The sequence below is a fragment of the Homo sapiens genome, chromosome 20 (genome assembly GCF_000001405.40).
Source record: "Homo sapiens chromosome 20, GRCh38.p14 Primary Assembly".
NCBI lineage: Eukaryota > Metazoa > Chordata > Mammalia > Primates > Hominidae > Homo > Homo sapiens.
In genome coordinates, this window is record NC_000020.11 from 58,294,152 (window position 1) to 58,309,076 (window position 14,925).

At 44.8% G+C, this 14,925-nt stretch overlaps 1 pseudogene across 1 annotated transcript in view, besides 1 other annotated feature; it reads right to left on the bottom strand.

Moving 5' to 3' along the window:
* Positions 1–14,925, bottom strand: part of PPP4R1L (protein phosphatase 4 regulatory subunit 1 like (pseudogene)) — a 76,663-nt pseudogene that overhangs the window by 61,375 nt on the left and 363 nt on the right. The window lies entirely within an intron of this gene.
* Positions 8,293–8,793: an enhancer, noted in NCBI's record as "H3K4me1 hESC enhancer chr20:56877500-56878000 (GRCh37/hg19 assembly coordinates)". NCBI's record gives its function as "activates a minimal SCP1, AML or CMV promoter by ChIP-STARR-seq in primed H9 embryonic stem cells {active_cell/tissue: H9 hESC(primed)}" and the evidence as "EXISTENCE:reporter gene assay evidence [ECO:0000049][PMID:30033119]".

A 14,925-nucleotide genomic window follows, 5' to 3' on the forward strand; every position in this document is an offset into this window, starting at 1 on the left:
CCTACTAATACCATCATATTCATATGTGAAGAATAGTACTTTTCATTCCAAGTACTGACAATCATTTCTTTCCCCACATATGCAAACATTTTCCCTGGTGTGGATCAACAGTCTAGACTTCCTCAAAATTAGGAAATCCTACTTGAGTCCAAATTAATAAGATTATCAGTAAGATTATTACTATTTACCTGTGAATGGTGTATTTTTTTTTTTAAGTAATCCTTCAATGCACCAGCGCTTCCTAAAATATACATGGAAGCAAGATTTGGCTCTCCTTTCCTCAAAGTGAATGAAAATGCCAGCATTCGCTTCAATGTCAATTGTGAAGGCATTCTAACCAGGTAACGTGATGAATAACCTTTTCCCATGACGTTTTTATGTTTTTTTCTTTATTAAATCTTAAAAGACAAACTAAATCAATCAACAACTGATGAACTATATAAAGATAACAGAGCAGGATTCCTCAACCTCAGCACTATTGACATTCCGGGCCAGATTATACTTTGTTTTGCGGGCTGTGTACTGTGGAAAGTTTAGCAACATGCCTGGCCTCTACCCACGACTTGCCAGAGCACTCCCTCCCCAGGTTGTGACGATCAAAACCATCTCCAGCCATCGTCTGATGTCCCCTGGGGGTGGGGGGAAGCAAGGCAAAAATCACCCCAGTTAAGAAACACTGTAAAAGAGAAAGACTGGCCCGGCAGTGTTACTTGCGGGTTGTCCGGTCAGTGGAAAAGATCTGGCCAACCCTTACTTCTTCGCCTTATCTCCCACTTCTCTCCTTCTCTGCCTCCAGCCACAGGCCTTGTGGCTATTTCCCAGACGCTCAGTCCCTCGGCAGAGGGCCTTTTCACTGGCTGATCCCTCTACAAAGAATTCCTTCTCCTCTTAAAAATCTTTGCTCATTCATCATCCTCTCAATGAGGTCTTCCCTGACCACCTTATTTTAAAATTCCAAGTCCCCCATCTATAGCCCCCTTATCCTGATCTACTTTCCTGTTTTTCCAGAGAACCCCCTGCCTTTGAACACACAAAACATTTACTTCCTGGGTTTACTGCTTGTCAGCTGTGTCCACTCCTCCCACTCCTACCCTTAGGGTAAGAATCTTTGATTGACTCATTGATATGTCTAGGCCACCTCAAGCATTCAATAAAAGTTGCTGAATGAAAGAATGCATGCATGGTAAAGATCCACCAAGCTAGTTTGCTGTGTCCCTTAACAATGAGATTAGCACATAAAATGATCCTTTCTCTCAAAAAGAATGTTCTAGAGGCCAGTGTGGTGGCTCATGCCTATAATCTCAGCACTTTAGAAGGCCAAGGTAGAAGGATGCTTGAGACCAGCCTGGACGATGTAAGAAGACCCCATCTCAACAAAAAGTAGAAAAAATTAGCAGGGCATGTTGGTGTGCACTTGTAGTCTCAGCTAGCGGGGAGGCTAAGATTGGAGGATCACCTGAGCCTGGAAGGTCAAGGCTGCAGTGAGCTATGACTGTGCCACTGCACTCCAGCCTTGGAGATAGGGTAAGACCCTCTCTCAAAAAAATAATAATTTTCTAGAATTTACATTTCTAAGGACAGGTGCGGTGGCTCACACCTGTAATCCCAGCACTTTGGTAGGCCGAGGCAGGTGGATTACTTGAGGTCAGGAGTTCGAGACCAGCCTGGCCAACATGGTGAAACCTCGTCTCTACTAAAAATACAAATTAGCCAGATATGGTGGTACACGCTTGTAATGCCAGCTACTCAGGAGGCTGAGGCAGGAGAATTGCTTGAACCAAGATCATGCCACTGCACTCCAGCCTGGGCAACAGAACAAGATCCTCTCAAAAAAAAAAAAAAAAGAATTAACATTTCTAGCCATTGCTAAGTTGGCATGTCGTCTGGCAAATGCTGATAGAAACAAGGGGCTACGGTCTACAAGGCAGTATTACAAACAATTACTCTGGGACCCAACAAGTCCAGACCACACATAAAGATCAGGAATCTTAAGCTTTCAAGTTAGAAATGAAATATGAAGTAGCACATAAATAATTCCTAGTTCAAATTTCACTTTTGTTTACATTTGAAAAACAAAAAAGCTACTAACTCCATTTATGAAAGCTTCGCATGATGCAGAAAAACAAAGCTTTCTGAACAAAACAGTTTCTAATAATAACTTCAAGTTGTCTTGGCCCAGTGTAAAATATGAAATAAACCAGTATTGATCATGTTTTGACTTCATTTGTCATCTACACTATAATAAGCTTTTAAGCAGCAGCTGTTTTCTGTTTCTGCCACTTTCTAAATTTCTAGGTTTACTGACAAGTTGACACAGGACACTACTGACTGTAACAAAAATGATTAATATATAAGCTAGCAATGCACAGTAGGAAAAGGGCTTGGAGAAGGGCCATGGTGATGCACAGGGGTCAGTGGCCTCTCCTACCGTCCCGTATGCTCAGCCCCCATCCCCTGGCTCTGCACACACGAGCCACCTTGAACTGTGTGTCCAACACCCCTGCAGCTCTGTTACACCGCAGTCAGCAGCTGTGACTGCTCCTGGCCCTCCAGGGAGATATACAGTTTAAAAATCCACTTTAATAGCTAAGACATAGACAGCTCACCTCTACCATCCAAACCACTTCAAACGCTAGGAAATAGACAGCTTACCTCTACCATCCACTTCAATAGCTAAGACACAGACAGCTCACCTCTACAGATAGCCTCAGCTATCAGGGAGGCTGAGGTGGGAGGATCGCTTGAGCCTGGGAGGTCGAGGCTGCAGTGAGCTGATTGTGCCACTGCTTTCCAGCCTGGGAGACAGAGTGAGACCCTGTCTCAAAAGTAATAATAATAATTGTCTAGAATTTACATTTCTAGCCACTGCTAAGTTGGCCAGGGTGGTTCTGAGCTCGCACAACCTAAAACAAGATCAGTTCCTCTTCAGGAAGGTCCTGACCACTTTGCAAAGAATAACAGGGTTTATCCCTTGCCCCTGATGCTAGGTGACTACATTTAAAAAAAAAAAAAAAGAAACTCTTCTCCGACTAAGAGGCCCACCAGAGAAAAATATTTCTGGAAACTACAACATTGAGAAAAAAGGATTTACCCTCCTCTATGTTAACTAGTTACTCAAGGGTTATCAAACCCTGACAGTATCTCTATCACTTAACGTATGTTGGGGCATAAAGGAAATCAGATGAGGATGCTGTAGTGAAACACACCATGGACTCCTGAGTCCTCACCTGTGTGTCAATGTTTTTCACCAGACACCCATCTGTCCTAAAGCAGGCCACGTATGAATTAATATGTTAAGCATAACATTAGGTGAATGTGCATTGCAGGTTCAACTATAGCAGATACAATCTAATAAACAGAAAAGAAACTTTACAGGTCATTTTACAGCAAAAAAAAAAAAAAGGATTGGAAGATCAATACAGAAACAGAAAGCATGCTGACAGCAGACTGACCTTGAACATCCCCTCCTCCCTCATGGACAGCAGGCAACAACAGCAAACCTAATTCAACAGAGTAGTGGTCCCTGGGCACCATAAGCCCCACGGGAAAAAAGATCATCATGTACATCACCACCCACAATGCCATGGTGGCAAGCACCATGGGACACAAGCACAGACAAACAGGAGGGACACAGCTCCACTTGGAAGAGAGTGAAGAGATGGCAGACACCTTCCCTAGAACACAGGTGGTATGTGATTTGGGCCTTAAAGGTTGAACAGAAATCCTCCACGTGGGAAGAGAGTGAGAATCTGGGAAAGGGAAAAAGAACATTCCAGATGAAGGGGCAAGCACAGCAAGGTACACTATCTGCCACCTTCAAGTGGTTCAGGGACACTGAGCCATTTCACACAAAGCCACCAAGCCCTGAGTAGCCACACCATAATCAGCTTTAAGTGGAAAAAGGGGAAAAAAATAAACACAATAAAACATACCTAATGAGATCCCTTTATTGGCCCAAACATAAGCAGAGCAGGAGCTGGAGGTAGAATGTTATGGCGTGTCTACCCCAGGCAAGCATTTTCACTCTCCAGCCATTCCCAGTATTTATGATTCTCCATTCAACATGTCACCCTATCATTATAACTCTACATGATATATGCCACCCTGAGCCAGACCAATTATCCATACAATCCAATATTCTGTTTCTGACATACCACTAGGGGACACTGAACAAGGAACATGATAGACATGGTCCACTATGTCCACGTTTGACTCAAAATATTACAAGATTGGTTGATGGTGGCCAAGAAGTTTAAGCCTTATTTGCAAAATTTGTACTTAGAATGTAGAATGTATTCATGTAGAACTTATATCAATAAAAATTAATTTTTTAGAGGGTCACATTAGCCACTCTTCAATAAACAACTAAATCTTTGCAAGGCCTTAGGTGATTTGGGGGGAACTAGAATACACCACTCCCGTAATGTGTTATTTAAAGTAGTTTTGTTCTTCTCACTAACAGGCTTGTAAGTACTAATGCAGATTCCTGAATTGGGACTATTTCTAATAGCGAGACTAGACAAGCTTGATCCATCTAACAAATAAAGAACATTCTTGATTCTTCAACAGCTTTTGGTGGGAAGTGACCCCCGCACACCTCAGGTCCTTGTTAACTTAACTAAATTCAAACGGCAAGTTGTGCAAGCAAACTTTCTCTATATAAACGTCATTCTCTAACAAGACCCACACTGATTTATTAGCTCTCATATGAGCAGATCCATCCAATGCATAATGTTTTATATTGCAAATCTTTGAGGGCTACTGATAGTTATTACTAGCACTATGCAATGGGCTGGCTGGAAAGACCAGCCTAATTCATGAGCAGCCATCCTTTCTATGCCATGCAGACATGGAAATTCCTCTTTGATTTGTGGCTTTAATCATGGCTTCCAAAACCCATCATTATTTATGACTCTTTTATTTACTTTTATTTTGAGATGGAGTTTCACTCTTGTTGCCCAGGCTGGAGTGCAATGGCGTGATCTTGGCTCACTGCAACCTCCACCTCCCAGGTTCAAGCGACTCTCCTGCCTCAGCCTCCTGAGTAGCTGGGATTACAGGCATGTGCCAGCATGCCCGGCTAATTTTTTTTTTTTTTTTTTTTTTTTTGTAATTTTAGTAGAGACAGGGTTTAACCATGTTGGCCAGGCTGGTCACAAACTCCTGACCTCAGGTGAACCACCTGCCTTGGCCTCCCAAAGTGCTGGAATTACAGGCGTGAGCCACCATGCCCCGCCGACTCTGACTTTTAAGTTGACAGTCAATGGGAAACAGGTTACCTGATAGGAAAGAACTCTGCAGCTCAAAGCAGTTCATATGCTCCATTTTAATGTTACCAATCTCCATTCTCCTGCCAACTCGCCCACTTGAGGGAGGGAGTTGAAGAAGATGAGGGTGGTAAAGTCTACACGGCGTTAATGAATGAATGAATGGAACAATATTACTTAAAAATGCAATGAGTTCTCTAGTCAGACTTGAGGTAGATGCAAAAGAAAAAAATGGTTGTAGAAGACAGTCAAAATCTTTGGGATGAGTATTGGGGTATAGGGTCCTCTATTTTCGTACTGTTCAAAATAGCTAAAACAATCAAGCAATGCTCTCAGACCAAGCAAGGTAACTTTACCAGCATCTCCAAAACCACCTCTTGCTCCATTCCACTTACCACCTCCCGCAATGGGTAACAACTCTCCTGCCTTCTGACAGCCTAGATTCGCTTTGCATCGTTTTATAGTTTGTACAAATAGAACCATGTAGTGTGTACCCTTTTGTGTCTGGCTTTTCAGATGTTTGTGAAATTATCCATATTACTGATTAGAGCTATAGATCATTCATTCTTACAGCTGCATGGTTTTCCATTGTGTGAACATACCAGAATTTATAATCCTTTGTAGTCATGATAAATATTTGAGTAGATTGCAGTTTCCAACTCTTAAGAATCATGCAACTGGCCCGGCACGGTGGCTCACGCCTGAAATCCCAGCACTTTGGGAGGCCGAGGCAGGCAGATCATGAGGTCAAGAGATCGAGACCATCCTGGCCAACATGGAAACCCCGACTGTACTAAAAGTACAAAAATTAGCTGGACCTGGTGGCGCGCCTGTAGTCCCAGCTACTCAGGAGGCTGAGGCAGGAGAATCGCTTAAACCCAGGAGGCAGAGGTTGCAGTGAGCCAAGATCACGCCACTGCACTCCAGCCTGGAGACAAAGCAAGACTCCAACTCAAAAAAAGAGAATCATGCGACTATGAACATGTTTTTTGAGAATATATGTCTATGTTTTGTTGGGCATATAACCAGGAGAATTGGTGGGTTATTCAAATTCTTTTTTTAAGGTTTTCAGAGTACATATAAATCATGCAAATCTGTGCTGGAATCTTCCATCCCTGACGAAAAGCCTCTTGAAGCCCTCCAGCTGCTTCTTGAAAGGCTGTGCTTTCTCCTGCTGGGCTGTGAGTCCCAAACGCAGTGACCATTCCTCAAAGTGCCCAGTGCCTAGCCACAGCCTGCTGTATTCTTCGCCTTGGCTACCAGGCATGGGACACTTTGACCACTGAGCTACTGGATTCCAGACCACACTGCCTCAACTTCCAAAACCTTCTCAATTAACTCCAATCTGGCTTCCACTTCTTGGCTGTGCTGAACTACTCACTGAGGTGAGTGAAGACGCCCTAACTGCCAAACTCCATGGCCTGTCTTCAATCCTCATCTTACCTGACCCTTCCGGGGCAAGTGACATAAATAAATGATTATCCAATCAAAACCCTGGCTCCAAGGGTCTCCTGGTTTCTTAACTCCATGGCTAATTTCTAGAAGCCTCTGCTGCCCAGGGTGTACCCCTTCGCCTTCTTCTCCAACATTCCCTCTCATCCTGCTCCCTCTCATCCTGCTCCAGCTACCACTCACCACTAATGACTTTCACATCTCCTCTCCAGTCCTAACTGTGCTCCAGAACCCTACAAGGGGGCTTTCTGGTGTCCTCAACAATGCCACCAGGATCTGTGTCATTGCTTCTCATGTGCTGTCCAGTGCCATTCACTATGTTAGACCACAGGGACCCAAAGAAGGATAAGACCCATTCTAATGGTCAATGCTATTAGTAAATTAGCAAATGCTGCCACAGGAAAATACAGGGCTCAGGAAACACAAAGAAGGAGTGTCTAGCCCAGTCTGGGTAGAAGGGAATGGAGGTGTCAGAAAAGTTCTCCACGAGACCCTGTCTCTGAGTTGACCCTTCCCTCACCACTGGAACTATCTGTCAACCCTATTCCCCACTCCCGGGCTCATCTCCTTGATTGAGACCCCACTCCCCTCGCCTGAACCACGGGAACACACTGGGGACCCCACCCCAGCTTTTCCTCCACCAGTCTTTCCTTTCTTTAAAGCACAGAGCAGCTCTAGTCACTCCCTGGTTCAGATTCTCCAGTGGTTCCCATGACTCCATGGATAAAAGGCCAACACTTTACCTTACAATGGACTTAAGGGCTATGTATGGCCTGGCCCCCACCTCCTCCTCTCACCTCCTGTGTCTGTTATTCACTGTTCCAGACACACAGGCCTTCCTGCTAGTCCTTGACAAGGAAGAGCTGTATGCAGGAGGCTTTCTCTGGCTCTTCATGCGAGTATCTCCAGCGTGTTACTCAAATCTCAACTCAGAAGCACCTCTCAGGGCTCCAGAGATGCCTTCTCTGGCCACTTGACGTTAGCAGCACCTGTATGCATGCAACCACACTGTGCTGGCACCTTCAGTCACACTCACCTGCTATATGTCCTTCTGCTTACCTCTTTAGTGTCTTGTTTCTGCTGCTGAACTGAAAGCTTCATATAAGCAAAAACTGGGTTCGTTTTATTCACTTCTGTGTCCACAATGCCTAACATAGTGCCTGAGACTTAATAGGCCCTTAATAAATATCAGTTGAATGAATGAATGAATATAACAGTGAATGACGAGTCCTCCAAAGGATAGTGGTTAAGATAAATTCTGCAGCCTGACTTCCTGGTTTAAATTCCACCCGTCACTTACTAGCTGTGTTACTTTGGGCAAGTTACTTAGCCTTTCTGTGCCCGCTGTGAGACTTGCAATAATAAAATGGGATTAAAAACACCCAGCCCGTGGGCTTTTGTTACAACAATAATGTGTCACAGCAGAGCTTGACATGCTCTTAGTCCTAAGTAAGCAGCAGTGTTTGTACCACTGCTTGGGTTGCATTCCTAAGACAGAAACCCGACCACAGTGCTTAGGGACGCCCTACTGCCTCCCAGGTTAAGCCTAAACCCTGGACTGGTAAAGCAGATTCTTCACTGACAGCCCCCAGTGCTATCTCCCAGCCTCTCCCACTCCCTCCCTCACACACAGCCCTTGTTCCCAAGTCTCCACTCTTCTTTCTCACTGGCTCCCAAGCAGACCAGGATCATGCAACACTCTGCCTGTGTACACACCGCCCAAATGCCCATCGCCTTCCTCCGCCTGCCCCAACTCAAATGCCACCTCCCCTCAGAAGCCTTCCCCTCCTACCCCTGCCCTGTCTTCTTTTTTTTTTTTTTTTTTTGAAACAGAGTCTTGCTCTGTTGCCCAGGCTGGAGTGCAGTGGCACAATCTTGGCTCACTGCAGCCTCCATCTCCCAGTTTCAAGCAATCTTCCCACCTCAGCCTCCCTAGTAGCTGGGATTACAAGTGCACGCCACCACACTTGGCTAATTTTTGTATTTTTAGTGGAGACGGGGTTTCACCATGTTGGCCAGGCTAGTCTCAAACTCTTGACCCCAGGTGATCTGCCCACCTTGGCCTCCCAAGGTGCTGAGATTACAGGCGTGAGCCACCGCACCCAGCCCGGCCCTGTCTTCTTACAGGCCCAGATCTGTGTTCCCTCTTCTGCCTGGGCCCTTGAGACACTGCAGGCACTTCCCTGCCAGGCTGTGGGTGTCAGGAGTTGAGCCCCAGGCTTCCCCACAACTCTATCCCCAACGCTTTTGGGAAGGCTGATACCTTGGAAGACGTGGAGAAACACGTTATGTGCATGAATGACTTTCCAAGCATGGAAACTAATACCTGCCCTCACCTCTTATTTTTTTCCCATCAGGGTTAAACTATTTGGTATTTTCAAGGTCAAAACTACTTTCCCTTTTGTTAGCTAGGTTTTGTTGCAAAATTTGTTTACAAGAGCTTATTTTGTGATGAAGAAAGCCATTTAAAACTCTTCTTTTTAAACAGAGACAACTTGTGGGAATTGCTGATGTTCATCTGTTTGCCTCACAGGAAATAGAAAATACAGAGCAACTAAAGTAGAATGCATTACAACAACGGGAAGGGAAGCAAGGTGGATCCGCTTCCACCACTCTGACTCTTTTGTTCCTTGCCATTCTCACACACAAATGGGAAAAATGAGACATGAAGCTTGAGCAGCTTCTCAAGGGTTATTCAACAGAGGTTTTTCAACAAAGCTCAGCTCTTCTAACTAAACCTAGTGGGAAAGATACTGATCCGGCTGGCTCAACTAATCCACAGACCTAGGGGCTCTAATGGAATAAAATCAACTCTGAGCTAGAGAAGGAGTCAGCAAACCACCTTCCCTAGGCCAAATTCAGCCCACCACTTGTATTTGTAAATAAAGTTTTATTAGGACACACCCATGCCTACTCATTTATGTGCTATTTATGGCTGCTTTCAGGCTACAATAGCAGACCAGAGACCTTCTAGCCAGCAAGCCCTAAAATATATGATCCTTTCCAGAAAAAAACTGCCAATCTCTGACTCAGAGAATACTTTGATCTCTGGGTTTTGTTCCATTTTCCAAGTATTAGATATTGCTGTTCAAATTATTTCAGTTGACAGGGAGATTTTTATTTTAAAAAACTGAAAATCTTTGGTTCAAGTATATATCATAGTTCAGAGAAAAAGTTCAATGGTTTGGTTTAGGATTGATTCAAGCGTATATCATAGTTCAGAGAGAAAGTTCAATGGTTTGGTTTAGGACTCAGATTAATATCGTTCCTCTGCTTTGGGGGCTTGGTTGTTGTCCTTGAGGAGATTTTTACAAACATAGAACAAAGTGGGCAGATAACATGGAATGCTTTTTGCTCTGGAAAATGTCTTTTATTCCAGGTTGAACATATATTGCTCCTTCTAGCATTAAGATTCCAAGATTTTCTCTATATTCCATTGGCTTAGCTAATCCCGTTTTCACCAAAGGTCCAGATATCATTTGTTAGAACCTGGCTTTTCCCATAAATAGAAGTATATCGTCTTCCAAGCTCTTTCACAGATAGCTCTTGCAAGCTAAATATTTGAAAAGAAATACACTGCCCCCCAAACACTAACGTATTTTATGAGTCAGTCTTTTGAAGCTAAATGGATCTTACAAGAACTCCGCAGTGACTTCAGAATTGGAATCCAGCCTTCCAACTCTTCCTATAGATGTTTGATCATGTGACACTTTCATCTCACTCCTTTAAACCTTTTACTATGGAAATTTTCAAACATATACAAAAATAGAGACTAGTCCCCAGTAACCAACTTCAACAAGTATCAACATTCTGCCATTTATCTTTCCATCTATCCCTCTCCTGACCTTTTATTTACTGTTTGTTGCAGTATTTGACAGCGGACTTCACACATCAAATGATTTCACCCACGAATGCTTGTTTCTGTTAGATGAGGCCCTTTTCCTTTGAACAAAACCATGACACTATTATCACACCCAACAAAATAATTATTAATATTATCTAATACCCAGTCCAACTCAATTTTCCCTGTCTCAATAATGTATTTTTATAGTTGATTTGTTCAACTAAAGATCCAAATATGACCACATATTGTCTTATGTTGATAGGTCTCTTAGGTCTCTTTACATTTGCAATAGGCTCCCCTCATTTTTTATTCACCAGCTCTCTTTACATTTGCAATAGGCGCCCCTCATTTTTTACTCACCCATCCCTGACACACATTTAAATTCTAATTGGCCAAGCAAACCTTATCAACAATAACACCTCTTCAGCCTCCATATGCTATAAGCAAAACTAGACATTCATAGGCCTGCAGCTGCTTAGGCATAGACATACAGCTCCACCTTCCATGTGTAATTCAACATGGAAACCAATATGTCAGGCCATCCCACACACTTTCCGCTTTCAAGAGAAGAAATTTAGATTGCTTCAGCAAGCCAATTCTCTGAAATGAAATCTCTTCTGTGCTGCAATGGCCTGAAGACTCTGAATGATTTAAAAAATAAGACATCCATTCATTATGGCTCCCTTTTGAAATTAGCCAAACATAATCAAGAATCACAAAGTAAATCAGACAAAAGCCTCATAATTCGTTATCGTTAACATTAACAACATTAATTGAGCACCTAGATAATGCGAGACATTGGATTATAGAAAGGATGGCCTGTGTCCCTACCCCAAGGGACCTACAGTCTAAATAGGCATCGCATCATTTAGACACAAATGCCCCAGGAGGACAACAGTCACAGTACCACCCAAACTGACATCCATCTCCTATCCCCTAGGTTAAGAATATTTATGAGATTGATCCATGTGGTGGAATAAAAAGAAAAGAGCAGACCAGGCGCGGTGGCTCACACCTGTAATCCCAGCACTTTGGGAGGCCGAGGCGGGCAGATCACGAGGTCAGGAGATCGAGACCATCCTGGCCAACATGGTGAAACGCCGTCTCTACTAAAAATACAAAAAATTAGTCAGGCGTGTTGGCGGGCGCCTGTAGTCCCAGCTACTCGGGAGGCTGAGGCAGGAGTATGGCGTGAACCCAGGTGGCGGAGCTTGCAGTGAGCCAAGATCACGCCACTGCACTCCAGCCTGGGCGACAGAGTGAGATTCTGTCTCAAAAAAAGAAGAAAAGAGCAGAAGGAACCGCATTTGACTGTGAATTCCACCATTCATGAGCTGTGCCACAATGGATAAGTTACTCAACCTGATTCTCAGTTTTCTCATCTGTTAAGAGGAATAATCCCACCTACCTCACAGAGTAGCAGCTGTTAACATTGAATCATAAGCTCTTACATAAAAATCCAGCAAAGATGATGATGATGATAAAATCACTGAATACTTTACAAAGCACTAGACTAGAATGTTTTCTGGCTATCCATCTAACCCTCACACCAGTCCTATGAAGCAGCTCCCATTCTCATGCCATTTTCCAAAGAATTGAACAGAATGGATGAGTGGTCCACCCAACGTAACACAGCTACAGGTGTGAGAGAGCCAGGATGTAGAGGATAAAACTTCAGGGTTCTTTCTGCCAATAATGGTATGATAATACCTCCCAATACTACCATGGGGAGGTGTAGGGGTAGAAGCAGGGCGACACGAATGAGCATGCCCTCCCGTACAGATCAATTATGTTATAAACTCCTAAGGTACAGCACTCCACAGCTCCTACCCTTGCCCAAACAGGAAGCCCCCAAGAGGCTGCCAAGGTTGTCCTACCCAAGGTGTGGTTAAGTTCAGAGCCATAACGGTGGTTTCCTTCCTCATTGGGGCAAGTCTTCAGCTGTCTGCTGAAGAGTACTTAAGTCTTTATAATCACAAGTCTCAAACACCTAACATTTGTTCAAATATTTGTCCAAAGTAAGATCATAATTTTTTCCTATATAATTCCTTACTTCCTTTTTTGTACATACATAGGTGAAAAAGGACTGAAGGAGGGGAGCCGTCAGAAAAGAGGTGCAACTACCCTGTGGCCACTATACTGTGAGAAGGCTGACCTAGCCAAGTGGAAAGGGCACCTCGCGGAGAACTGAAGTCCTGGCCAACAGCCAGGACCTATGCCACCCACATAAGTGACATCATTTCGGACTTCCCCAACTGAAACCACATTAAGCAGAAGCACCACCCAGTCTACTCACAGATTTGTGGGAAATCAAATGCTGTTGGTTTAAGCCATTGAGTTTTGGGGTGGTTAGATAACTGAAGCAGCTAGAAAATAGCTTTCCAGTCAGACCAAATACCACATCTATGAATGACAAGCACCATCATGGCAACTAAACATTGTTTATCCGTTGTATCAACGGAAATGATACAACTCCTTCAATCTGAGCATGCCCATCGGCTGAAACATTCAGCTGGGTAAACCTGGATCTATACTGTACCAGGCTCAACAGTGTTAAATAACTACTAATAATGATCACATGAATAACGGTAACAGCAGCCATTATTTACCAACTGTTTATTACATACTAGGCATTGTGCTAAATCCTTTATTCATTTAATCCCTTATAAAAGCCTTTTGAGGTGGGCCACTATAATGCCCATTTTACTGATGAGGTCGCTGAGGCATAGAGTGGTACAGCGACTTGCCTGGGATCACACTGACAGTAAACAGTGATACGGGATTTCACTCTTGGCCATCTGATTCCACAGACACCGGGCTCTTAACTATCAGCTTGCTTTACCCCTTCAAAAGTGTTATGCTACTTTAACAAAACTGCCCCTTGTTGGTTTGTTTTGTTTTGTTTTGTTTTTTTGAGACGGAGTCACTCTGTCGCCCAGGCTGGAGTGCAGTGGCGTTCACTGCAACCTCTGCCTCCCAGGTTCAAGCAATTCTCCTGCCTCAGCCTCCCGGGCAGCTAAGATTAGAGACGCGCGCCACCAAGCCCGGCTAATTTTTGTATTTTTAGTAGAGACAGGGTTTCACCATGTTGGCCAGGCTGGACTCAAGTGATCTGCCCGTCTCTGCCTCCCAAAGTGCGGGGATTACAGGCCTGAGCCACCGCACCCAGCCGAAACTGCGCCTTCTGAGTTAATGTGTGTAAAGAGTTTAAGACTGGGCCGGGCGTGGTGGCTCACGCCAGTAATCCCAACACTTTGGGAGGCCGAGGTGGGCGGATCACGAGGTCAGGAGATCGAGACCATCCTGGCTAACAGAGTGAAACCCCTTCTCTACTAAAAATACAAAAAATTAGCCGGGAGTGGTGGCGGGCGCCTATAGTCCCAGCTACTTGGGAGGCTGAGGCAGGAAAATGGCGTGAACCCAGGAGGTGGAGCTTGCAGTGAGCCGAGATCGTGCCACTGTACTCCAGCCTGGGCTACAGAGCAAGACTACGTCTCAAAAAAAAAAAAAAAAAAAAAAGAGTTTAACGCTGTCTGGTCCATGGTAAGTTTTCAGTAAACACCAACTCTTACTATTAGGAAACCTGAAGATGTGGAATGAAAGATGAGAGGAAGTACTGTATATGACTGGCGTACAGTACGCCCCCAATTAATGTTAGCTATTTGGATGATTTATATAGGGCTTCTTCACCAGCAAGCACTCCGGTGCTCGGTAATTTTCTGTTTACAAGTAGGCTCTCCCCACACCCTGTGAGCTCCCTGCGTGTAGAGCTGTTTTCAACACATCCTTGCAGGTTCGGAGCCCAACACGTGGCCCCCAGAGCAAATAGCTGCTCAGTAAGTTTCTTGACAGGAGAGAAAACGCTTCCTTCCTTCACCAGAAATGCGAACTTGGATTTCTAAGATGACACCTCCCCCAGCTACCAGCCCTTAACATGATTCCAAAAAAGAGGGCAAGAAGGGACAAGGGTCCCACCCAAGAAATGCGGGGGCCAATGGGCTCCATGGGATAAGAGATGGAGCCGGGCTTGTGGCCAGGACACTTGAGAAGTCCGTGCAACTCCGTGACCGGCCACACCGAGAGGGGGACCTCCCAAACCCCCCAGCAGTCCTAAAAAGTCCCTAGGAAAAGGGCAAGGCCCTGAGAGGGAAGTCACCCACCTCCCAGGTGGCGGACCCCCCGCCCGCCCAGGGTCGACTAGGACTTGGGACTACCCCCTCCGCCCATCCCACGGCAGCTGCAGGCGCAGGAAGAAAAGAAGTGACAGGGAGTCCAAAGTTTCCCCAACAACAAAAATCCTTCCCCCGAGGGAAGGGAAGGGCTCCCACCCTCAGCCCGCCCCGCCCAGGGAGGAGGGACCGC